This window comes from Homo sapiens, chromosome 16 (genome assembly GCF_000001405.40).
Source record: "Homo sapiens chromosome 16, GRCh38.p14 Primary Assembly".
Lineage (NCBI taxonomy): Eukaryota > Metazoa > Chordata > Mammalia > Primates > Hominidae > Homo > Homo sapiens.
In genome coordinates, this window is record NC_000016.10 from 20,370,847 (window position 1) to 20,395,825 (window position 24,979).

General features: G+C 44.3%; 1 protein-coding gene across 5 annotated transcripts in view, besides 1 other annotated feature; it reads right to left on the reverse strand.

Annotated features, from left to right (window-relative positions):
* The window catches only part of PDILT (protein disulfide isomerase like, testis expressed), a 45,563-nt gene that overhangs the window by 11,672 nt on the left and 8,912 nt on the right, over positions 1–24,979 (reverse strand). For 4 of the 5 annotated variants that reach the window (XR_950754.2, NM_174924.2, XM_011545765.2 and 1 more), the window contains exons 3-7: positions 13,799–14,005; positions 5,222–5,355; positions 3,976–4,113; positions 2,166–2,276; positions 1,956–2,081 (exon numbers count right to left, since the gene is read on the reverse strand). Coding sequence is in view for 4 of the 5 variants with exons in the window: in NM_174924.2 (NP_777584.1) it covers positions 1,956–2,081; positions 2,166–2,276; positions 3,976–4,113; positions 5,222–5,355; positions 13,799–14,005 (716 nt within the window). In the remaining variant the exon portion in view is untranslated. Of the gene's footprint in view, positions 1–1,955; positions 2,082–2,165; positions 2,277–3,975; positions 4,114–5,221; positions 5,356–13,798; positions 14,006–24,979 lie in introns of those variants that run through there. The other variant, XM_011545766.4, reaches the window with a different exon arrangement.
* Positions 15,677–16,210: an enhancer, noted in NCBI's record as "H3K4me1 hESC enhancer chr16:20397845-20398378 (GRCh37/hg19 assembly coordinates)". NCBI's record gives its function as "activates a minimal SCP1, AML or CMV promoter by ChIP-STARR-seq in naive H9 embryonic stem cells {active_cell/tissue: H9 hESC(naive)}" and the evidence as "EXISTENCE:reporter gene assay evidence [ECO:0000049][PMID:30033119]".

The following is a 24,979-nucleotide window of genomic DNA, read 5'->3' on the forward strand; positions in this document are numbered from 1 at the left end:
ACCAGCACCACGACAGTTTACAAATGCCATGGCAATGTCAGGAAGTTACACTATATGGTCTAAAAAGGGGAAGCATGAATAATCCACTCCTTGTTTAGCATATAATCAAGAAATAACTATAAAAATGGCAACCAGCCGCCCTCGGGGCTGCTCTGTCTATGGAGTACCCATTCTTTTATTCCTGTACTTTCCTAATAAACTTGCTTTCACTTTACAGACTGGCTCTGAATTCTTTCTTACACGAGATCCAAGAACCCTCTCTTAGGGTCTGGAACCGGACCCCTTTCCAGTAACAGCTTCAGCACCATGAGGGAGAGAGACAAAGGAGAAAAGGTCAGAGACTGTCGAAGATGAGGTCAGAGGTCCAGTAAGGAGCTTGGGTTTAGTCTGAATATAATAGTGGGCCACTGAAGGATGGTAAGCTAGAAAGTGACATGATAATAATTTTGAGAAGGTCATTCTGGTTGCAGAGAAGAAGCAAAAGTGGAAGCAGGGAGATGAGTTAGAGGCCACTGCAGCCACCTAGGGTCAGATACTTGCAGTTCATTCATTCATCAGAAGATTAAAGGCCTCACTGTGTGCTCCTCTTCTAGGTGCCAGGGAAATTGAAAAACACAGCAAACATATTAAAACCATCCTTGTGTACTTTCAATAAATATTTGCTACCTTCTGTTGGCACTGGAGCACAGAGGTGAACAAGATAAGAGGTGCAATCTGTTGAAACAGTATTAATTCAACTGTTTAGCGTTGTCTGTGAAATGGATCACAGTCTATAAAAGGCATTTGGGGAATTCACTAGGGTGACTGAAACTTAGAACTTCATCTTCTGATGTAAGCCAAAATAAATACCAGGGAGATTGAAGAGTTAAAAAAAATGGAAGAAAATAATGGCTAAGCATTGACTACTGTAAAATAGGAGAAACAGAGAAAAAGCAATCAGGTTGCAATCAATTTAACTATATCCAAAAACTTAGAGTAAAATTGGAAAAAAAAAGACCCCCAAGACATATATTTAACAAGAGGAATTATTTCTGTGATTTGAACCATCTTTTTTGAAAATAATGTGGTGGAATGTAGCATGACCATTACTTGTGTTATATTCTAGTGGCTTTCTTTATTTTAGGTTACAAAGTTCTCAATTGTTTTATTTAATTTCAGATTAATTTTTTTAAAAGAGAAAAAAAACCCTGCCATGATTATACTTCCTATAAAGATGAAGAGAAAAATTAATCAACTAGCTTCCATAGTTCAGGTACTTCTAACTACCTTAAATACAGGAACAGCGCTTAGGGGAAACCTTTGTTTCTAATGGTGATGATGATAATAATAAAAAGCACCATTGATTGTAAAGCTCATTGCTTTACATATATATTTTCTAATTCTTACTACAACAGTCCATTTCATGCATGAGGAGACCTCAATATGGGGTTAAGAAACTCACCTAAGACAGTGTAGTTTGCCAGAGAAAGAGAATTTGAACTTGGGTCTGCACAATGTTAAAGCCCAGAATCTTAGCAATTACTTGCCAGACAATCTGTGCTACTCCCCACCTTCAGGCTTTCATAGTCCTTGACCTCAAACAGCAGTGGTCTTTCCTGCCCCCACCTCCAGGCCAAATGATACCACTCTTAGTGTATGGAGTCCACTTAGTGGTCCATCAAAAAAGCAGGCAAGCCTTCATGTTCTCAGAGTAGACTCATTACAAAGAAGAGTGAAGAAGTGTAGATTTGGCATGGAAGAGACACTGGGCAGGAAGAATGGAGAAGGCATATTTAAAATTAAATAGTAAATGATATGTGGCATTGACATGCAAATCAGAAAACTGACAGGCAATTGCAAGTGCCAATCTTTCCTGATTCAATTTATAATAAGCAGGGCAGGCAAATGGGCTCAGGGTCTGCAGGTCTTGGATCCTCATCCAGGAGTCCCAGAGAGCAATGGTGCACTCTACAAACCTTGTTTTGGAATTCCTTTGATGCCAGCTTATAATGCTGAATTATGATACCATATGACTCGGAGCTTTTGGAGACAAACAGCAGCATGTGACTCATGATGTGCAACTCGGAAATCAGATCCTTATTCTGAAATGACCAGGAAAATATGTCATCCCAAGCACACACAGTGGCCCCAGCTCCCCTTCCTCCGGGGACCATTTACTCACTGACCTCAGTGTTGTATTCGATCACAAAATCTGTAAGGTGCTGTTTTATGACACGATTGAGTTCCTGTTTGTTGGTACTGTCATTAATAAGCTTTTGGCGGTTCACAATTTTTCCCTTGTACAAAAGGAGAAACATATTGGAGGACAGTAGCTTTCATGATATAGCCACTTAATAAATATAAATAGCACAATTTTCTCCTTGGATAAAAGGAAAGCACTGAGGAATGGTATCAGGTGTAGTCTGTAATCTAGGTAGTTAATAACTAGGAGGGGCTGGCCAGATTAGTCAGTGGGTAGAATCTGGGTAGGTGACAGCCATGAAAATCTCAGATCTACGGCAGGCCACAAGGAGTGTAATTGACTTAACAGCCCCAGCCATTGTCATGCTGTGTAATCCATCAAATATTAAAATATCTGTGCCAGGGCTGAGAAATTTCTCACATACTGCTCCAACTAATGATTGACGGCTCATTCATATTAAGACAAACCCAGTCCCAGGAGATTCAGGACTTCTCTGATAGGTGTTAAATCAAGTTTAGCATAAAGCTGCCTCCTTACATGTTTTAAGTTCAGCCTAAACTTTTCACTATACATAGTGAACTATAACCTAAACGGAGGTGTAACTAGACTGTCATAGCCTACACTTGTGCCAATCACTGAGTTTTGGCCAATCAAAGGTGGCCAACTGTTCAATCATTGTTAAAATAAGGCAAACACTGAGCTGTAACCAATCTAGCTGTTTCTGAACCTCACTTCTGTTTTCTGTACATACATCACTTTGCTTTTTCTGTCCATAAATCTTCCACCACTTGGCTTTGCTGGAGTCTGTCTGAGCCTACTCTGGCTTGGGAGGCTGCCTGATTCATGAATTGTTCTTTGCTCAATTAAGCTCTTCAATTTAACTTGTTTTAAGTTTTTCTTTTATCTTTATTATTCTTTTTATTTATTGTATTTCTTTTTGAGACAGGGTCTTGTTCTGTTGCCCAGGCTGGAGTACAGTGGTTTAATCAGCACACTGCAGCCTCAACCTCCCAGATTCAATCCTCCTGCCTGAGCTTGCTGAGTAGCTAGGACTGCAAGAACTTGCCACCATGCTTGAATAACTTTTTTTTTTTTAAAGATGTAGACTCACTATGCTGCCCAGGCTGGTCTCGAACCCTAGGCATAAGGCTTCTTCCCTCATTTTATACTGTTGATCTAGGATGGTATCAATAAAGATAGAAATGAATGGTTAAAGAGATATTTTGGTTATAAAATCAGTAGGGTTGTGGTGATGGATTGCTTATGAGAGGTGAAGGAGAGGGAAGTGTTAGGATGTTGCCTGGGTTTTCTGGCTTGTTTAACTGGATGGGAGAGGTGGTTGCATCATTCCTGGAGCAAGAGAAAACACTGGGAGAGGACCTGGAGAGGAGATTATGACTTTGGGCTTAGCCATTTTGAGATGCCTGGTGTTGCACATAAAGGTCTGCAGATTAGAGAAATCTCACTGGAGATGGATATTTATAAGATGTGTGTATAGCATAGATGGTAATTGCTGATGAAGGGTAGAAGGGGAAGCATGGAGTAGAAGAAAAGAGGGCATAGGATTGAGCCTTGATGAACTGCATTTACTAGTTAAGTAAAGAGAAGGAGCTTAAGATGGTAAATGGCTGGAAAGGTTGGAGCAACACTGGGAGACTGTGACTTCACAGAAGTCAACTAGTCCAATGCCACTGAGTTCACAAGTGGCAGAACCAGAATTTGTACCCAAAGCTCATACGATTCCACTACTTTGAACCAGAGACCTCTCACTAGCAATAGGATCAAAATCCTACCTTTTTGAACACCAGGACGCTGTCAAGGGTGACGTGGAAACGCCCAATGACATTGCCAATCGTTATGACTCCAAACGTTAGCTCTGGAAAGTCTTTGATCACATCATAGAACAACTCTGCTACTTCTTCCTCTAAATCCTATTTGGGAAAGGATGTTTGGAAAGGCTTTGGTAGAAATCAAGGTGCCTGGTTTATATAAGGGAAAGACGGCAGTGGTGGCTGATTCGTCTCTTCACTTTTTCAAGTTCTGGGGTTTGCCTGGGTCACCCAAATCCTCTTTCATGAGTATTTCATACTCAAAATGCTTCTCTGGCTATGAATAAAGCCAAAATAGGCAAGTCCTCAGAGATCAACAGAGAGAAATGATAAATGTGACCTTTTCCAATCTCTAAAGGGTGTTCTAACCCAATGAGACTTTTAACATTTATTCCTTAGTTACTTTCAGAAGAGGCAATTGATTTTACCACATGTAATACAAAATGTGAACTTAATGTCAAGAATTTCAGCCTTCATTCTTTAGCTTGAAAGAAAATCAAGGCCAAACACCTCTCAAAGAAGTAACAAGGGGTGAGGGAGAGAGGCAGATAGTCTCTCTGTGTTAAATATAATGCCCAAGTTCTGCCTTCTACTGGGAGGAGAGAAGTCACCAACTTATAGCAAAAGAATTAGGACACATGAGAAACTCATTCTCCTAAAGCAAAAACAATTAGCAAGTTATTTATAAACATTAAAAAATCTACATGAAAGGCTATTATGAGACGTTTCATGATTGTATCTAAGTTACTTATGTTCTTCCCCAAACATCTCCTACTGCACCTCTAAGGGTTGGTGTATTTTCGAATGAGTGCATGTTTATCCTGTGCTATCGGTTTTAATATATGAGGATGCTTGGAAAGAGGTTAGGGAGAGAAACTGGCCTGGCCCAAGCATGGCTGGTGGCCTTCAGATTCATAGAGAACAATGGCTCTGAAACCAGAAACTAAGACATCCTTTTATTAAGTGATGTTCTAAATGGACCCCTAAAATGATTAGCCACACTGTTAAAACCCATTAAATACAGATGCCAATCTTCTCTCTTTTCTTTCCATTCCTGTTCATTTGAACCCTTGGAGCTTCCCCTAAAAACCAGATCATTGGATGGAGAAAATTGGGCAATCAAAACGGAAGAGTCTCCTCACACCACCCCCTCCCAGACACAGCACTTCTCATCAGTTGAAAGCCTCCTCCCACCTCTTGGTCCCAGTACCTGGAAGAAGCCAACGATGACCAAGGGCCTGGATATCACAAACTCTGCCACCTGCTCGCTGCTGTTGAACAAAAATGCTTTCTGGCTAATTTGTCGTCTCAACCAAACGACTAAGGCAGCAGATTCAACCACTCCTGGAGAAAGACACAGTCAAATAGATACCAGAGAAGTTTCCTCTTGAACCAAAGCAAGAAGCTGGTCTTTCTCAAGTTTAATGCATAGAACCTTCTTGTCTCAGGCTCCCACCCCTTGAAGGCCAAAGTCAGTTCCTCCATTCCCCTCTTCCCCAAGCTCCAAGCACGAACATTAACAACAGCAGCTAAATGTTACTGAGCACTCAACAAGGCCCAGACACTGTGCTGAACGTTTTGCATATATTAAATCTTCACAATAATCCTATGAAATAGACACTTTTACTCTCCCCATTTTGCAGATGAAGAAACCAAGGTTCAACTGCCAACAGGCACCCAACTAGAGAACCTGAAGATCAAATTTAGGAGGAGGCATTTCCAGACTTCTTTTCTTATGAACTCTCCAAGGTGACAGGAAGATTGATTTATATTTTAAAATCTCAATAAAATATAACTGGAAAGACCACATAGCTCTGTAACCTTGGGAAAATCCTATTATCTTCCTGCAGCCCCCATTCCTCAGCTGAGATCCAAATGCCCTTTAAGGTCATCCACTCCTGACTGCCATTTCTCAGCTATAGCATGGTTGGTGTCAAGCACACAAAAGTCTTAGCTTCCAAAATTAAGACACATATACTATATCTGGGAAGACAAATTGGTGAGCCAGAAGGTACAGAAGGCTATACACAGGTGAACGTGTGTTTTTCTAGGATTATCAGTTTCACATGATGGAAAGTAATGTAAAATATTATATATTTGTATCTGCTATAGAACATTAAAACTGAACATTTTAAATAAGTTTATGAGCTAAGCATGGTGGCCTATGCCTATTTCCCAGCACTTTGGGAGACTAACGCAGGAGAATCACTTGGGGCCAGGAGTTTGGGACCAGTCTGGGCAACATAGCGAGACACTCAGCTCTACAAAAAACAAAAGAAAATTAGCCAGGCATGGTGGCATGTGTCTGTAGTCCCGGCTACTTGGGAGGCTGAGGCAGAAGGATTGCTTGAGCCCAGGAGTTCAAGGCTGCAGTGAGCTACAATCAGCCTGGGAGACAGAGTGAGACCTTGTCTCTAAAATAAATAAATAAATTTATGAGATAAAGCAATATTCGTTGTGAGTAGCTTTGAACTACATCCACAGACTGTTATTCATTTACGCACTCATTTATTTCTTCCCTCATTTATTTACTTGGCAAATATGTACCGAGTGCTTACTATCAAGTGCTGTACTCAGCCCTGGAGATATAAGGATGAACAGAAACAAACACATTACCACCATTTCACAGCTCTCATTCTGTCGAGGAAGACAACAATCAAATAAATGCATGAACAAGGGCATCATTACACCCAAAGGAAATGTTTGAAATCAAAGTTCTGCGAGTCTGTAGCAAAGATGCCTGACTTAGACTGTGAAGTCAAGGAGGACTTCCTGGAGGAAATTATGGATGAGCTGTAAAATAAAGAATGCACTGGGCCAGGCGCAGTGGCTCATGCCTGTAATCCCAGCACTTTGGGAGGCCGAGGAGGGCGGATCACAAGGTCAGGAGATCGAGACAATCCTGGCTAACACAGTGAAACCCCATCTCTACTAAAAATACAAAAAATTATCCAGGCATGGTGGCACACGCCTGTAATCCCAGCTACTTGGGAGGCTGAGGCAGGAGAATCGCTTGAACCCAGGAGGTGGAGGTTGCAGTGAGCCAAGTTCGCACCACCGCACTCCTGCGCGGGAGATAGGGCAAGACTCTGTCTTTAAAAAGAAAAAAAAAAAGAAAGAAAGAAAAGAATGCTCTGGAGTTAACTAGGAGGCATTAAGGAGAGGGAAAGTCTTCTAGGAGAAACAGCCTATACAAAGTCCTGCAGCAGGACAAATTGCTACCTGAGGCTGGATGAATGCACCCTGAGCTACTAAATCAACTGCAAAGGCTCTACCTTCGTTATATTTGTTTTATTTCATGAGAACATGAAGGCTTTTCAAAAACTTATAATAAAGTATATTTACATGCAGAAAGGTGCATAAATGATAATGTATGGTTAGATGGATTTTTACAAAACGAACACACTTGTGTGACTACAACCCAAATCGAGAACTAGAACATCACCAGATCCTCAGCAGTCCCTGTTGTGCCCACTCCCAGCCTCTACTCCCCTCAATCCAAAAGTAACCACCACTCTAACTACTTCTTCTTCTCCTTCTTCTCCTTCTTGTTCTTCTTCTGCTTCCTCTTCCTCTTCTTCTCCTTCTTCTTCTTTTTATTTTACCTTAAGTTCTGGGATACATGTGTAGAACATGCAGGTCTGTTACATAGGTATACATGTGCCACGGTGCTTTGCTGTACCTATCAACCCATCACCTAGGCTTTAAGCCCCGCGTGCATTAGGTATTTGTCCTAATGCTCTCCCTTCCCTCGCCCTCCACTCCCAGACAGGCCCCAATGTGTGATGTTCCCCTCCCTGTGTCCATGTGTTCTCATTGTTCAACTCCCACTTATGAGTGAGTGTGTTTGGTTTTCTGTTCCTGTGTTAGTTTGCTGAGAATGATGACTTCCAGCTTCATCCATGTCCCCGCAAAGGACACGATCTCATTCCTTTTTATGGCTTTGTAGTATTCCATTGCCACCTTAACTTGTAACAGATTACATTAGTCTGCCTGTTCCTGAACTTCATATAAATGTTCTTGGCTCTGGTTTCATTATGTTTGTGAGATTCAGCCACAGTTTTTCATGTACTTGAAGATTCATTTCCACTGCTGTGAATATCCCACAACTTATTTGTCCATTCTCTGCTAATGGGCATTTAGTTGCTCTCATTTTAGGGCATTTTTTTTTTTTGAGACAGTTTATCCTTCTGTCACCCAGGCTAGAGTGCAGTGGTGTAGTCGTGGCTTACTGCAGCCTCGATCTCCCAGGCTCAAGCCATCCTCCCACCTCAGCCCCCTGAGTAGCTGGGACTACAGGCATGTACCACCACACCTGGCTAATTTTTATTTTTTGAGACAGAGTCTTGCTCTGTTGCCCAGGCTGGAGTGTAAGGGCTCAATCTTGGCTCACCGTACCTCTGCCTCCCGGGTTCCAGTGATTCTCCTGGCTCAGCCTCCCGAATAGCTGGGACTACAGGCACGTGCCACCACACCCCACTAATTTTTTAGTATCAGTAGAGACAGGGTTTCACCATGTTGGCCAGGCTGGTCTCGAACTCCAGGTGATCCTCCCGCCTCAGCCTCCCAAAGTGCTGGGATTACAGGCATGAGCCACCACGCCCAGCCCACACCTGGCTAATTTTTAAGCAATTTTTAGTAGAGACGAGGTTTTGCTATGTTGCCCAGGCCAGTCTCGAACTCCTGGGCTCAAGCAATTCTCCCACCTTAGCCTCCCAAAATGCTGGGATTCCAGGCATGAGTCACCATGCCCGGCTGGGGCTATTCTGAATGAATTCTTGTGCATGTCTCTGGGGCACACTGTATGCACTTCTGTTGGGTGTATAGCCAGCAGGAGAATTTCTGGTCATAGCAGATGCCATGTTCAACTTTAGTAGATATAGTTAAGGTCATGTTAAAAGCCACAATGAGTCAAACCTATGGAAATTCATGTGAAGCTGATATGGTGGCTTCAAGAGAAGAGAGAAGGAGGAGGCATCATGCCACCCTCAGACCTTGGTACCCCACATCTGCTGTAATTCCCTCCTCTGAGATATCAGCCTCAACACTGAGTTTCTGTACAGTGTTTCCAGCCATCTTTAGGTAAAAATAAGTCACACTTGGAAACAAATGGTTTCTCTTATATGCTTTTGTCTGGCAAAAGTATATTGTAAGTGATCCAAAAGGAATTGATTTACAAAATCTGAAAATATCCAAAAACAAAACCTGCCAAATGAATTTAAATTTCAGGTCATCAGAACCATTGCTCTGATGTCACTTTGTGCCACCCTCTGCCCTTTCCACACTCCAACGTTACAGTTATCTTCCAGAACACTGGCTTCAGCCTTGGCTTGTCCCTCCTGATGGGCTGCCCTTTCCTCAGCTCTTCAAGGGCAGTGCCTTCTTCTGCCTGTTCAATTCTCAGTTGGTTCTTCTTTTCTTTTAGCCAATCACTCTCTGTCTTATGACCTGTTCTATTTTCTTTTCTTTTATTTTCTTTTTCTTTTTTTCTTTTTTTTGAGATGGAGTCTCACTCTGTTGCCCAGGCTGGAGTGCGGTGGTGTGATCTCAGTTCACTGCAACCTCTGCCTCCTGGGTTCAAGCAATTCTCTGTCTCAGCCTCCGGAGTAGCTGAGATTACAGGTGCCCGCCACCACACCCAGCTAATTTTTTGTATTTTTAGTAGAGATGGGGTTTCACCATCTTGGCCAAGCTGGTCTTGAACTCCTGACTTCGTGATCCACTCGCCTTGGCCTCCCAAAGTGCTGGGATTACAGGCGTGAGCCACCGTGCCCAGCCGAGCTACCCTATTTTCTTCATTGAGTCTATCCCTTCTTGAAATTATTAGAATGATTTTTCACTAGCTTGTTCAGTGTGAGCTCCCAGTAAGCTCCTGTAATGCCTGGCACATAGTAGATGCTTAAGAAATCTTTCTAGAATGAATGAATGGGCTGAATGAATCATCAGGGAAGCTGGCTTGAGGAAACTTGATCTTGGGCCATCTTCTTGGGGACGTGTGAGCTCCATTTGCCCCTCTGGCCCCTGTGGGACCGAGGTAGTTATGAACTCTGCAAATTGTTGATTCCTTTGTGCCTGCAGATCAGGCACTGCCCTTGTCAGGGACCTCCTTTGGTGCTTGGCTCTGTGCCAGAGGACACGGTGACAACTGAGGTGTGAATGCAATGTCAATGATTGACTAGGACCAGCACTGGGCTGCATATTTCCAGGCACAGACTGTGGCTGCATCATTAATAGAGGCCTAGAGGCAACCTGAGTCTCCCTCCTTCCAGAGCAATGGCCATGGCCAAGTCTCCTGCCATCAATCCTTGGAGATTAGATGAGAATGGGACTGGGGCTTTGACCCTGCAAGGACTAAATCCCACCAGTGTCCTAAGAGGAGTTTTCATCAAAGTCACATTGCAGAAGATGCGTAAAGCACTGTCTCCTCTCAGCTCAGAGGAGCCCTGGCAAGTAGGCAGAACTGGCCTTACTCATCCTGTTTAGAAAATGAGAAATTGGGCCGGGTGCGGTGGCTCACACCTGTAATCCCAGCACTTTGGGAGGCCGAGACAGGTGGATCATGAAATCAAGAGATTGAGACCATCCTGGCCAACATGGTGAAACCCCATCTCTACTAAAAATACTAAAAATTAGCTGGGAGTGGTGGCACATGCCTGTAGTCCCAGCTACTCGGGAGGCTAATGCAAGACAATCACTTGAACCCGGGAGGCGGAGGTTGCAGTGAGCCGAGATCGCACCACTGCACTCCAGCCTGGCAAAACAGTGAGACTCCATCTCAAAAAAAAAAAAAAAAAAAAAGAGAAATTGGAAGCCTGGTTGTAAAAGGCTCGTTGAAGTTCCCATGGTTACTGCTCATCCTAAAATCCAGGCATCCTCAATCCCTGTCCCAGCTTCATCCTGGCATTCCCTTTGCCCTTTCTCTGGTTAGAAGTAATACTGAGGAAGCAAGCCCAGCAGAAATATGGGTGGGTACTTTACCCTATGCCCACCTGCAGTGGGTGCTTCCAATTCCATTGTATTCAAAATCTAAAACTTTTATTATTATTATTTTAAAATTTAGAGACAGGATCTCACTCTGTCACCCAGGCTGAAGTGCAGTGGTGCAATCATGGCTCACTGCAGTCACAAATTCCTGGGTTCAAGCAATTCTCCCACCTCAGCCTCCTAAGTAGCTGAGAATACAGGTATCTGCCACCACACCTGGCTAAGTTTTAAGGTTTTTGTAGAGACAGGGTCTTGTTATGTTGACCAGGCTGGTCTCAAACTTCTGGGCACAAGTGATCTTCCCATATCAGCCTCCCAGAGTGTTGGGATTACAGGTTGAGCCACTGCACCTGGCTCAAAAACTATTTGTTAAGAACTTAATTGTTCCAGGCATTGGACTAGAATGAGAAAACTAATAGTCTGATAATAATAATGAACACATCTGCCTCTTGCTTAGAGTACAGCGCAATGTAAAGCGGATTTCAACATACTATAGCCTGTAGTCCAAATCTGGCCTGCTGTTTGACTGTATAAATAAAACTTTATTGGAACACAGTCATTCCCATTTGTTAACACGTGGCTGCCTTCACATTGCATCAGCAGATCTGAGTAGTTACAACAGAGACTGCCTGGCCTGTAGGATCTGGAATATTAATAATCTGGGCCTTTGCAGAAAACATTTGCTGACTCCACCACTACTCACTGGGCAGCTTTGAGGAAGTTATTCTACCTTTCTGTGCCTCAGTTTCTCCATCTGTAAAAGCACCTCTTATATTGGGGTGTTATGACATAGGAGAAGGGTCTAGAACAATGCCTGGAACACAGTATATGCTACAGGTATGTGTCAGGCCGTGTGCCTTGCAAACATCATTTTATCTTCCCAACAGTGTAGAGGGGTAGATCTTTTCACCATCCCCATTTAACAGATGGAAAAACTGAGATTCGACGAGCGGCAGTGATTGTTTCTTAAGCCTGTGGTAAGGATTTGGATGCAGAGGGGAGTGCTGTCAATTCTGGCAGTCTCTTTAGAGGACCCAGGAGTGCAAGTGAGATCAGCCACTGCCCTTGTGATGCTCTCTGTAGAGAACAAGCAATAAGTAGCAGATGTAATTCTTTGAGGCGAGGGCCTTGATGGGGAAAACACAGATGCTGTGAGGCCACAGAGGTGGAGCAGGCACCCTGGCCTGAGCAGTCAGGGGAGACTTCCTAGATGGGGTGATGATGAAGCTTCCTGTATGGCAGACGAGGTCCCAGGCACTGGTTTCCCTGATGAAGGGGGCTCAGAAGTCAAATGCCTTGGGGACCTTCTCTGCTAGTTTCACCCACAGTCTGGAAGTTGCCATATTGTTACTTTGTCGCCTCTAAGTGGAGTCAGTTCTCTCCTGCCCTTCAGGAGGGAAGGTCATTGCAGCACCTGGGCCACTCCATTAGCAGTCATGGGCTCCGATGACCTAGGGCCTCTCATTTCCTCACAGCTCTCCCCAGAGCAAACACATCACAAAGGGCTCCTTGCTGGTGTCAGCGAGTCCCCCTTGTTGAGGGTCATCCCCTGGTATCTATAGGAAACAGCATCCTCTGTTGCTTCTCTCACTGCTCCCGCCCTCCCTCCCCATCTCTTCTCTGGCGCCCGCAGCCACCACCCTCCCACAAGCCTGCTGGGAGCTGCAGCCCTGCCCTTAGGTGATTGCTCCGAGGTTCTCTTGTGGCGCCTTTCTCTGGGTCTATCCTGTGTCTTTCATGCCCTCTTGTGTCCATTCTGAGAACTGCAAAGCATCCTGCAGCCCCTGGATGTGTGTTTCTTGCAAATAACACTGAATCCAGCTTATTGGAAGCTGGCTATACACCAGATCCAGTGGAAGGCAGTTTCCGTTACTCAAGACTCAATAATTTAACATATATAATGGGAACATTCTACTGGCATGGCTGTTACAGGCACTTCTGTGTTCATCAGTTTTGTTACTTCCATCCTTCCATCCATTTATCCATCCTGCATCCATGAATGCCTTCATATATGTAACTTTCTAAAAGTTGGGACTACCATATGTGCCATACTAGTACCTTATTCTCCACACATCCTCAACATCAAGATAGGGCTTGGCACATGGTAGCTTGTCAATAAATGGATGCTGAATAAATGAATGAACGAGTTAATCAATGAATGAAAAATATGATAGAACGTAAGGTGTTTGGTAGACATTGCATCCCAAGCCTGTCTTGTTCCATCATCTCCCAATTTCCCTTTTGGCTAAATAGTGCTTCCCTAGTCCTAGGACTCTGTCAAATCATTCTAAAGTCAAAGATTGGGAGTGGGAAGTGGAGTTAGAACTTAATCTCTGGTGTCTGATAGTTTCTAAGCCATGCACCCCACCCTCCCACTTCTTGGTGTTTCTAGGGCCCATCAGCTGAGCTTCAAGCTGTAGTAGAAGCAGCCACATATTCACTAAACCCGTTTTCTTTCTAAAAACAGAGCTGAACTGTATTTCTCCGCCTTTCTTGCAGCTGGTTCTGGCCATGTAACAGAATTCTGGTCAATGGGATGTGAATAGAAGTGATACTTACCACTGTTCATGGCCAGGGCCATGAACAGTACCCGTGGTGACCTTCTACCCCTTACCCCAACTGCTGGCTGGATACAGAGGAAAGAGCAGGTGGCTCCAAGGCCCTAGAGAAGGGCAGAGTCACAAGCTGGAGGATCCTGGGTCCCCGAGAAGCTGCATGGAGCAGAGCCTCCCACCTTTACCCTATAGCTGTTAAGTGGACTTTCCATGAGCATGAAACAAGTGTGACACACAAGCACCATTACCTTTGCAGCTGATGGGCTCTGACCTGTTGCCCTCAAAAAACAGCTTCAACTCCGGGGCCTTGGTAATCCCAAACTCCTGCTGAAGCTCCTTCTCTATGGTAATGTCCACTTTGCCAAAGCCGATCCCATTCTTGCCTTTGCCCATGATCTCCACAGCTTTGCCCAGCTCTTCCGCCAAGTTCCTGGATTGCTTTGAGGATGGGTTGTCTGAAAGAGTATGAAGACAAAATTTGAGAGGCCTTTCCTCGCTCCCCATCTCCAACAGTAGATTATTTGTTGGGCCTGCTTAGCTCCCGGAACCTTTCTTGTGCTCAGCGGTTAATGGCTGAATTTTCATAAATGTGACAAGATGTGAGACACAATGGTTCATGAAATTAGACAATCTGGGAGATGTCTATCAAGGTTCTTTGGATTCAGTAGCATTGGAAACAACACAACCATGGGCAACTTTACTCCATCTCTCTGAGCTCCACTTCTCTTGTGTAAAGTGGGTGAAAATAATAGTGGTTACTTCAAGGAATCGTCAGAGTTAAATGAGATTTATGTCACAACCAGCTATAATTGCTTATTGTTTTCTAAGAGTTTTACGTGCATTAAGCCATTTACTCCTCTCTATAACTCTGTGGGATAGGTATTATTATTATCTCAATTTTATACATGAGGAAGCTGAAGCACAACAAATGACTTACTTGCGCAAAGCCCTGTGACAGTGAGAGGTAAGGCCAGGATAAGAGCCCATTCTGTCTGGCTGTAGAGTTCTTTTCTAATCTCCACTAGGCATGTAAACCACTTGGTATAATGCCTGGCACAAGTTAAGTACATGCTGCGTTCTTATTACTGCTTCCATTATTATAGTAAAATTTCTGTGGTCAAAGCAGGACCCAAGCAATGATTACACAAAGGCATGCAGAGTGGTATAATGGACATTGGAGACTCAGATGCGGGGAGGCTGGGTGCAGGGTGAGGGATCAAAAAAAACTGCATATTGGGTAGAAAGAACATGACTAAGGTGATGGGTGCACTAAAATCTCAGACCTCACCTCTACACAATTCATCCCTGTAACCAAAAGCCACTTGTACCCCCAAAGCTATTGAAATAAACAAAAACAAACCACTCAATAGCATAGACACGATGATCACATTTATGGAATTGTTAAAAAGTGTATGCCCAGGGCAAAAGAAGTCTAGAGGGAAATTTTCCAAACTATTAAAATTTTTTGTTTTAAAAAAATTCTGTGGTCAGAAATTATGGAGACAGAGAGGAAGCATGAGAGCTCATGAGCGCCATCTGGTGGAACGTCCTGGAGCTAACAGGCCAAATTGAGCCCCTGCAGTTGCCCTGCATGTAATTGGACAGGGGACTTTCGCAGGTAAGGAAAACCAGGTGTGGGGAGGGCGGGGATAGGGGAGGTTGTGGTGTTCCCCTGAGTCCACCCTCTTGTCTCGAAGAGACCTGGAACTCTCCATTAAGAGATCTGATCTGGACGCCTTGGCCCCTCACGTTGCTGGGCAGTGGGGAGGGACTGGGGAAGCCCTTTTCTGGAAGCGGTATCAGGGAGCTGGCACGTGACCTTGGCAGTGCAAGAGGCTTTTCTGGCTAAACGGAGGGGACTAAAAGGCGCCCAAGTGTGCCTTTCTTCCTCCTGATAACATTGTGAGGCTGCAGGTTCCTCGCTACCCCATGACTGAGGAAGGGGGGCTGAGCCAGGGCAGGGGGTCATTGATTGCCTTTCAAGCCAGAACATTTTATCTTTTTCACTGCCGCCCACCCCCGTGGTCCATCTGGAGCACTTGGAGAAAGTGCAAATGACCTCTGCTGCAGAGGGCAAGTTCCAAGTCCAACAGAGAGGTCTTTTGTAAAGTGCCGCTCAGAAAGCAGGGCCCCGGGACAGCTGGCGAGGGCCCCGTTGCTGGTCAGCACGCCTGCTCCTGCAATGGGATCGGAAAGTGAATGATCGCTTTCATTAAACTCCCGGTCAATGGACCGGAAGCGGGGACTTTGTGCCTCCCTCCTGGATCGATGCCCCTCCACTGCCTGCTTTGTCACCGTCATCGCCTTCGATATCCCCTGATATCCCCTATCCATCATCACCAGCATGCACTGGCCAATTGCTGGCTGCTCTGGTCCATGGGGCTCTCCCCGGCTTCCTCGTGGATGTGGCCATGCTGGGCTCAGGATTGCTGATTGACATAGAATCCGAATCTGAGTTTCTGAGGGCGGAAGCTCAGGGCAAGAGAAACACTTGGAATGATTGTCCAGATGGTAAAGCAAATTTTAGAGGTTCCACACACAACCCAGTGCCCCTGGGTGTCTGAAATGGAAGTGACAGAGAGAGCTTGTGGCAACCGGAGTGCTGGGGTCTGAGAGCTAGATTGATGGGGCCTATGATAATAGTAATGGAGATTCATTCATTCGTTTTATGCATTCATTCATTTATTCATTCATACAATGAAACTTTTAGGATATGCCATGTGCCAGGCACTGTCCTAGGGATTGGGGATATAACAGTGAACAGATAAAAACCCCTGCTGTCACTTGAAAAGGCAGAAAATAAGCAGAATAACAAAGTAAAATATGTGCTGTGTTAGATAATATGTGCTTTGGAAAAGAACAGGAGAGTTGGAGGTTGGGAGTATTAGGGAAATTGCAAGTTTAAGTAGGAGGCTAAAGATGGCAATGTTTTAATAAAGATGGAAAGAAATGAGAGCGCAAGCCATGTAGACATCTAGCAGGAGAGAATTCCTGGTAAAGGGCCAGTGTATGCAAAGGCCCTGAGGTGGGGCATGTGTGACATGTTCAAGGTATGACAAGAAGTCCATTGGGTCTGGAGCAGAGTGAGCTGGGGCCAGGGGACAGGTGATGTAGGGTCTCGCAAGCCACTGAATAGACTTTGACTTTTCCCAGAATATGGAATGGTACCAGAGGGTTTGGAGCAGAGGTGGAGGTGATCTGAGTTACTCTTTTTCTTTTCTTTTTTCTTTTTTCTTTTTTTTTTAGACGGATCTTGTTCTGTCACCCAGGTTGGAGTACAGTGGCACCATCTTGGCTTACTGCAACCTCCACCTCCCGGGTTCAAGTGATTCTCCTGCCTTGGCCTCCTGAGTAGCTGGGATTACAGGCATGCACCACCAGGCCCTGCTAATATTTGTATTTTTAGTAGAGATGGGGTTTTACCATGCTGGCCAGGCTGGTCTTGAACTCCTGTCCTTAGGTGGTGATCTGAGCTACTTTTTAACTGGATTTCTCTGAATATTATATGGAGATTAGACAAAAAGGGAAAGAGAAAGGATGCAGGTAGACCAGTCGGAGGCTACTACAGTAATCCAGGCAAGAGATGGTGATGGCTTTGGGCCAGGAGAGTGGTAATGGAGGGGCTGAGAAGTGATTCCATTCTAGAGAGATTTGGGAGGAGGAGTTTGGATATGGAACATGGTGAAAGAGAAGAGTCAAGGGTGTCTCTGAGGTTTTTATCTGAGTGACATAGGATTATGTAGGATCTTCTATGGAAAGATGATGATGATGTCACTATCATCGCCATAATGATGATGATATTGATGGCGATGTTGATAATGAGAATAGTAATAATAACAACACGTATTGATCCCTTACTGTGCTAAGTACTTGCTTAGTGTTCCATGCATTACCCTGGTTAATCTTCAGAACAATCCTGTGAGTTATCTGTGATTACAAGCAGGAATATCACAGATAAGGAAATGGAAACCCAGAGGTCTTACAGCTAGTATGCAGTTAGGCTGAGAGTCAACTCGAAGGCTGACTGGCTCCAAGGTTCATGCTCTAAATGACCAAATTGGCCAGCTGGTCTGAAAAATCTTTTTCTTGGAGCAGATTAATGGGGGCATGTTTTTCATTTCTTCTGTTCCAGGTGGTTCCCATCAGAGCAGAGACAACCTACACAGCCAACGCCACTCTTTAAAATTTAGAGTCCGATTTTCTGGCTTCTTTCTTTAAAAATTTTGTAAATTGGGCCAGGCGTGGTGACTCCACGCCTGTAATCCCAGCACTTTGGGAAGCCAAGGTGGGCAGACCACCTGAGGTCAGGAGTTTGAGACCAGCCTGACCAACATGGAGAAACCCCGTCTCTACAAAAAATACAAAATTAGCCTGGCGTGGTGGCACACGCCTGTAATCCCAGCTACTTGGGAGGCTGAGGCAGGAGAATCGCTGGAACCTGGGAGGTGGAGGTTGCGGTGAGCCAAGATTGCACCATTGTATTTCAGCCTGGGCAACAAGAGCAAAACTTCATCTCAAAAAAAAAAAAAAATTGCAAATTGGTTTTCCTTCTGGGCTCTGGAACCTTGAATTCCAAGTTTGTAGGTGTGAAATGAATGCATACACTCCTCAGGTCTCAGCATTTACATTCTGCCCTGGTCAACTGGAAATGCCAGTTTGGCCAGGTATGGAGACAATTCACGTGTATATTGGCACTTAGGCTGAGCAGTGCCCAGTGGGCTGTAGATAGGCAGAGGCCAAGGGTGCCCATGGACCCAACTTCTCTCAGGCCCTAGCTCATTGTCTGCCATATACTAGATGCTCAATGAATGTGAATTCCTTAGGCTATCTCATCAAAAAGAGGCAGTTATGGTGGTTTACTTTCCTTGTGGCCCAGGAAAGTTGTTTTTATTTTTTTAAGTCTCTGTGACTCAGTTTCCTCATTCATAAAAAGTGGGGTTATTAATAGATCCTACGTCTCAGAGTGATCCTACAAAATAAGACAAGGTGTGCAAAACTTTGGTACAAATAAACATTAGCTATTTTGATGACATAGGTGGAGACTCTTTGGTCTTGCTCTGACCAGATTCTCTCTGGGAAGGGAGGGTCCCATGGCAATGTCAGGAACCCCAAAGATCTTCCGGCTACTGATGAAAGGGAACAACAGTGACCATCACCAAACCATCCACCACAAGTTCTAGGCCTATTATGGAGCTCTCACATGGGTTTCAGGGTAAGCACACGGGACTCAGGGCCATGTTAGAATAGGCAATGGCTCCCTGACTGTCTGCTTGGTGTGTAGATGTGTTAATGGCTGATGGACCTAGAATTAACGTTTGCCTGGTCTTTAGTAGAAAACCCCAGGTTTCCTTCTCTGAGCAGTGAATGTGAGTCAGAGGAGGGGCTGATGGGTGATGGGGAGGTGATGAGTATAGGGACTGGAGTTTGATCCCAGCACAAGGAAGTTGAGTCTGCCTTTCTTTAGACCAGTGGTTCTCAATGTCGGACGTTTTGCAAGGTCTGGAGGCATTTTTGGTTGTCACAGTTGGAAAAAGAGATGCTACTGGCATTTAGTGGGTAGAGGCCAGGGATACTGCTAAACATTCTACAATGCTCAGGACAGCCCCCAGCCCCACAAGCAAAGAATTATCTAGTCAAATGTCCGTAGGGCTTAGGATAAGAAACCCTACTTTAGATCCAACTTCTGATCAAGCATGAAAAAAATATTCTGAGAATAACCCTCTGCCCATTCCATAGGGCCATGTACAGTATACAGAGGTACTCACAGCTGATAGGGACTTCAGGATTGTCATCAATCTCTTCTTGTTTCTCAGGGGCCAGCCACCAATTTGTTTTGACCATTGCAATGGCCTTTAAGTTTTTAAAAGATCTGTACCTCCCTATTTTTCTGGCCTCATTTCTTAGTCCTCTTCTCTTCAGAAACCCTATATCTTTAGCCAAATGGGCACAATCTCCCTCACCCCAGGGTATTTTTACTCTCTGTTCCTTCTGCCCTAAATCTGCATGGATCACTGCCTCACCACCTTAAGATCTTTGCTAAAGTGTTACCTTTCCAGGGAGGCTGTCCCTGGCCATCCTATTTAATACTACAGCCCCATCTCCATCCACCCCATGCATTCCCTATCACTCTTGTGTATTTTTCTCCATAGTACTTTTAACCGTAGGAAATACTATATATTTTACTTATTTTTCTTTTGTCTTCTCTCACTAGGATGTCAGTTCCAGGAGGGCAAGGATGATCACCTGTTTTGTTCACCACTATATCCTCAGTGCCTACAATATATCTGGGAAATAACCGTATTCAATAAATACTGAAGGAATGAAGTTTCCAATGATCAGCACAGTGCAAGAAGATGAATTTAGCACCAGTTTTGGTGTCAAGCTTGGTCTCAAATCCAGTCTTCACCACTTACCAGTTGTGTGACCTTGGGCAAATGATCTAACCTTTCTGACACCTACGTGCTTCATATACAAGATGGGGACAAGGTTTTCAAGTGCCGTGCCTGAAACACAGGTGCTTGATAAATGGCCTTTGTTATCATCACCATTGTTGTCATTATCATCACCATAACCATCATCACCAGCACCATCATCACCACTGTCATCACCATCACCATAACAATCATCGTCACCAGCACCATCATCACCATTGTCATTATCATCAGCATAGTTAATAATCATTATTACCAGTACCATCATTGCCATTGTCATCATCACCATCATAACAATTATCACCAGCACCATCATCGCCATTGTCATCATCATCACCATAGTTAATAATCATGATCACCAGTACCATCATCACCATTGTCATCATCATCATAATCGTCATCACCAGCACCATCATCGAAATTGTCATCATCACCATAGTTAATCATCATCATCATTAGCACCATCATCGCCATTGTCATCATCACCACTATAATTAATAATCATTACCATCACCATCATCACCATTGTCATCATCATCATCATCTTCATCATTATTCCATCCACATTACCGTCTCCACATCATGCTCACCATCATCATCTAACCTACTCCTAGGACAGAATCTTGTCACCTCTGCCTTAGGGACAAGTGATAAAGGACCCTAGACAGCTCCTAATCTTATCTTGACCTCTCTCCACTAATGGTAGTGAGTCCTTCTCTCCTTGATTCATTCAAGTTAATGTGGATGGAGAAAATTATGGGCCAAAGGAAATCTCATTCATTCATCTATTCATTCATTTAACATCTATGGAAGCCTACCATGCTCCAAGCACAATGCTGAATGTTAGGAATCAGGAGATGAATAAGATTTGGCCCCCAACATCATGCAATGTACACGATGAAAAGCAGTTTTGATACCATATAGCGAATGCTGAGAGAGAGAGGTTAAAAAGAAGGCAGTGGGAGCATAGGAAGGCCTCCCAGCCAGACTAAGTGGGAGTGAAGGTGGGTACAGCCTACCAATGAGGGGCATAAACTTCACAATCCAGGTGAAGGAGTGTAGGAAGGATACTATGGAAGCTGCAAGTGCAAAGGCCCAGAGGCTGTAGCTGTGGGCTAGATCAAGCAGAAGACCTTAGCTACTGAATGACCTGATCAGATTTGCATTTTAGAGGAAGTCTCTCTGGATGCATTGCAGGACAGCATTGGAGAAGGCAGGGAGACCATCTCAGAGGCTGCTGCAGTGGTTCAGGTGAGGAATAATGAGGCCTGAACCAAGGCAGTGGTGGTGGGATGGGGAGAACAGAGATTGCAAAGGGATTTAGAAAGTGGCATCCACAGGACGTGGTGATGGATTACATGTGAGAGTAGAAGAATCAAGAACAACCTTGAGGTTTCTGACTTTGATACTGAGTGGATGGTGGTACTTTCAGTGAAGGCAGGACATAAGGAGCAGCAGATTGTTGGGACCAAATCAAAGATGCTGAGGTCTGTCGTGGACATGTGGCAATGTCCACATGTGGACAATGTGGGACTGCAAAGAACATTGAGAGGAAAGCTCCCCCAACCACTGGCTCTTGGCCTGGAGTTCTCAGAGAGAAGAGAAAGCTGGTCACCCATTAAGGATCTGAGACTGGGGTGGTCCCTGGGGGCAGTGTCTGAAAATAATCTCTTTTGCAAAGAGCCCATTTACCCTTGAAGAAAGCTTTCATAGTGCTTTCCCCAAGTGATTTGTTTTTCCAAAGGCCACTTTAGAAGGCCGGCTAGTTTTTTTAAGAACTCATTTTGAATTTAATTATGTATTGGCAGGAATCAAAGATGCAAATGTAATGAGATTAATTGAGTGTCCCTTTTAGATAAGAAAATTTCTGCTGTTGTTGAGTTCACTGCTTTGAAATACCTGCTAGTGGAAAGGCTTTAGGTTTAAAGTATGCATGTTGGTTGTGTCAAATGCAATTCAAGAATGTGAAATTGATTGGTTCCCTCTGTAGCCTCAGATTTAGTGTCAGTTCTTAAGTCATAAGAATTAAAGAACCATGAACTCACCCTTCTGCCCTGGTTAAAACAGAGCAGAGCCTTCTATTCTCATGTGGACTGGACAGGTTTCCCAGCCTTATCCATCCACTGCACCATTTTTGGAAGGGGAATGTGTTGAGGTGTGTTATGTGTTTGTGTAAATGTATGGCTCTAAGCCTTTTAACACCTCCATTGAGGGTCTCAGATTAGAAATTAGGGCTGCAGCAAAAGAGATGGTTTGGATGTTTTATCTATGTAAACCATTAGTTTACCAATTCCACAGCAAGTGGAGTGAGACTGCAAGTTTCTCTGCTCCTCCCTGTAAAAGTCACCATGAAATAGATGCACAAGTGCTGGCCTGAATTCTAGTGTGGATGAGGGATGTGCAGAACTAGCTGGAGGAGTCTTTCAGCAAAGTGGAAATGCCTGCCGTGCTCACAGGCTCATGTAAAGAAAATGGCCTAGGCTGGATTTCTCTTACAAGGTATTGCTCGAAGGGCTTTGAAGTAAAATCAAGCTGGCATCCTGAAGAACAGCCTGAGTTAGAGGGAGGTCACAAGCTTGGAACTACATTGATGAAACTTCAAGCAACACGCATGTTCAATATTGGATGGAGGCAAAAATGACCCAATTGGACATTCCTTGTGGGAACTATAAATGTTAACGGTAGAAAAAGAAGGTGATTCATGCTTCTATGAAGTGGCAGCATAACCTAGCAGGGGAGGCACCAGGACTCAGGGGGGCTGAGTTGTTGATGCTCCCATATCCCCAAATTTCCTCATTTAAGTGGCACCACTCACAGAGTATACCTCAAATGAGAAGGACAAGGATTGAGGAAGGAGCTTTGGAAGACCGAATTTCTGGCAGGGGACATAGACTCAAATGTCATGGGGGTAAAGCAGAGAGTGTGACAGTGTGAGGTTGGCTGGATAGGAATATGGCAAATTGATAAGCATGTTCTCTGACCACAAGGAAAAATCACAACTCAGCTTCAGCCAATTGTCACCTTGCAGGACTGTGGGCCAGAGCTTCCAGGTCTTCTGATTTTTTGAAGAGCTGATGCACATTCAGTTTTAACTGTGACATGTTTCATTTCTTTTAAACACTGCATGGGCCAGCTGCCAGCTCATGGGCTCAGTTCCTGGGCTTCCTGTTATATCCTTAGTTTCAATGTTATGGGAAAGAGGAGGAGTCATAGAAAAGAACTGTGAAAAAGGAGCCAGAGAGATACACAGGAACCAGAAGAGACTGAGTTCACTGAAACCAGGCACTAGGGGGTCTTGGCATGAATATGCAAAGAAGGTCAAGGAAGGTGAGGGCTGTCCAGTGTCCACGGGATTTGAGAAACAGCTGTCCCTTGAAAGTTAGCCTGAGCCAAGGCAATCTCTTGGAGAAAATAGTTTTTGACATTCCTACCCAGAAGAGAACTCTTTCTGGTGGTTCACTGTCTGAAAGAGCTTATTCCACCAGGCTGCCTCTCAGCCTGCCCAGCTTTGAGTTGTTTCTGAACAAAGGTCATTTCAAGGCTTTTATAGCAAAAAGCAGGTGCAATGTGACTAAAGGAAGGCAATATTGTGGGTTCCCCAGGCCTGGTTTCTTTTTCCTCTTGGTGTATACAGCCATACTACATTTCCCAGCCTCTCTTACAGATAAGCACGGCTATAGGGCAGTGATCAGGCCAATGGAATGTGGGTAGAAATGATGTACACCAGTGCTTCTCACACTTTAATGTATGTGAATCACTTGAGAATCTTGTTAAAATGCAGATTCCGATTCAGTGCTTCTAGGATGAAACCTGGGAGTCTGCATTTCTATGAGCTCCTGAGTGAAGCTGACATTGCTGGCTTATGGCCTACACATTGAGTAGCACAGATGGGCATCATTTCCAGGCCTAGCCTGACCCAGAGGCACATCCTCGTCTCCCTCCCACCTTGCTGGCTGGAGGCAGAGGTTTCTGTGGAGTACTCTAGGCCCTAAGGGGTGGCTGAGGTCCTAGGTAGAAGGAGACTGGTTGCCTGAATGATTGTATGGAGCAGAGCTTCTCTGCAGACCCACCTGGGACTAAGATGATATGGACCCTTATGAACCTAGATTTGGTGATTGTTATAGCAGTTAGCTTTCCCAGTAAACACAGTGATCTTTAAGATAACTAGTCAAAATTAGAGCAAAGAAGAAGTTTGAGTATTAAAGTGGGTAATACATATATAATTTATTTCTTTAAGGGATTTCATTGATCTCGTATTAATTGACCCCATGATATGTAAAGAACTAATAAGATGCTTGACACATTTAAGTTAGCCTATAACCTTGGATCTTATGGCAAATACTGAGAATCAGCCATTTATAACCTCCTTTTGTTTTGCTTTCTCAACTAAAGAGGTTGGAAACCTAAAACATTCACCATTCCAGACTTCTCAGTTAGAAACATCCATGGGCCTAAGTTCTAGCCAATAAGATGTTACCAAAGTGATTGGGTGCAGCTCTGGGAAAGTTTGATTTTTTTAAAGGGACATAGGTGGCTGACGTATTTTATCCCTTTGTTGTTTGCCCATCCCTTTTTATTTCTAGCTGGAACGTGCAGTGCAATGCAAGAAGCATAGCAGCCATCTTGTGACCATCAGTTTTAATGTGTCAAGGATGAGGGAGTCAGAAAATAGAAGAAGCCTTGTCCCTGACACTGTGGAGTTGCTATGTCAGGCATTGACTTCCTGTCCCACCTCACATAGTGTGTGAGATCAACTCTTGGAGTAAGCCACCTGCTATAGTTTGGTTAGTTCGACTTTCTTTAAATGTCATGTTGAAATTTGTTCCCCAGTGTTAGAGTGGGGCCTAATAGGAGGTGTTTGGGTCATAGAGGTGGATCCCTCATGAATGTTTTGATGCTGTCACCAAGGTAACGAGTGAGTTCTCACTCTATTAGTTTCTGCAAGAGCTGGTTGTTAAAAAGAGCCTGGCAGCCGCTGCTCCTCTCTCTTGTTCCCCT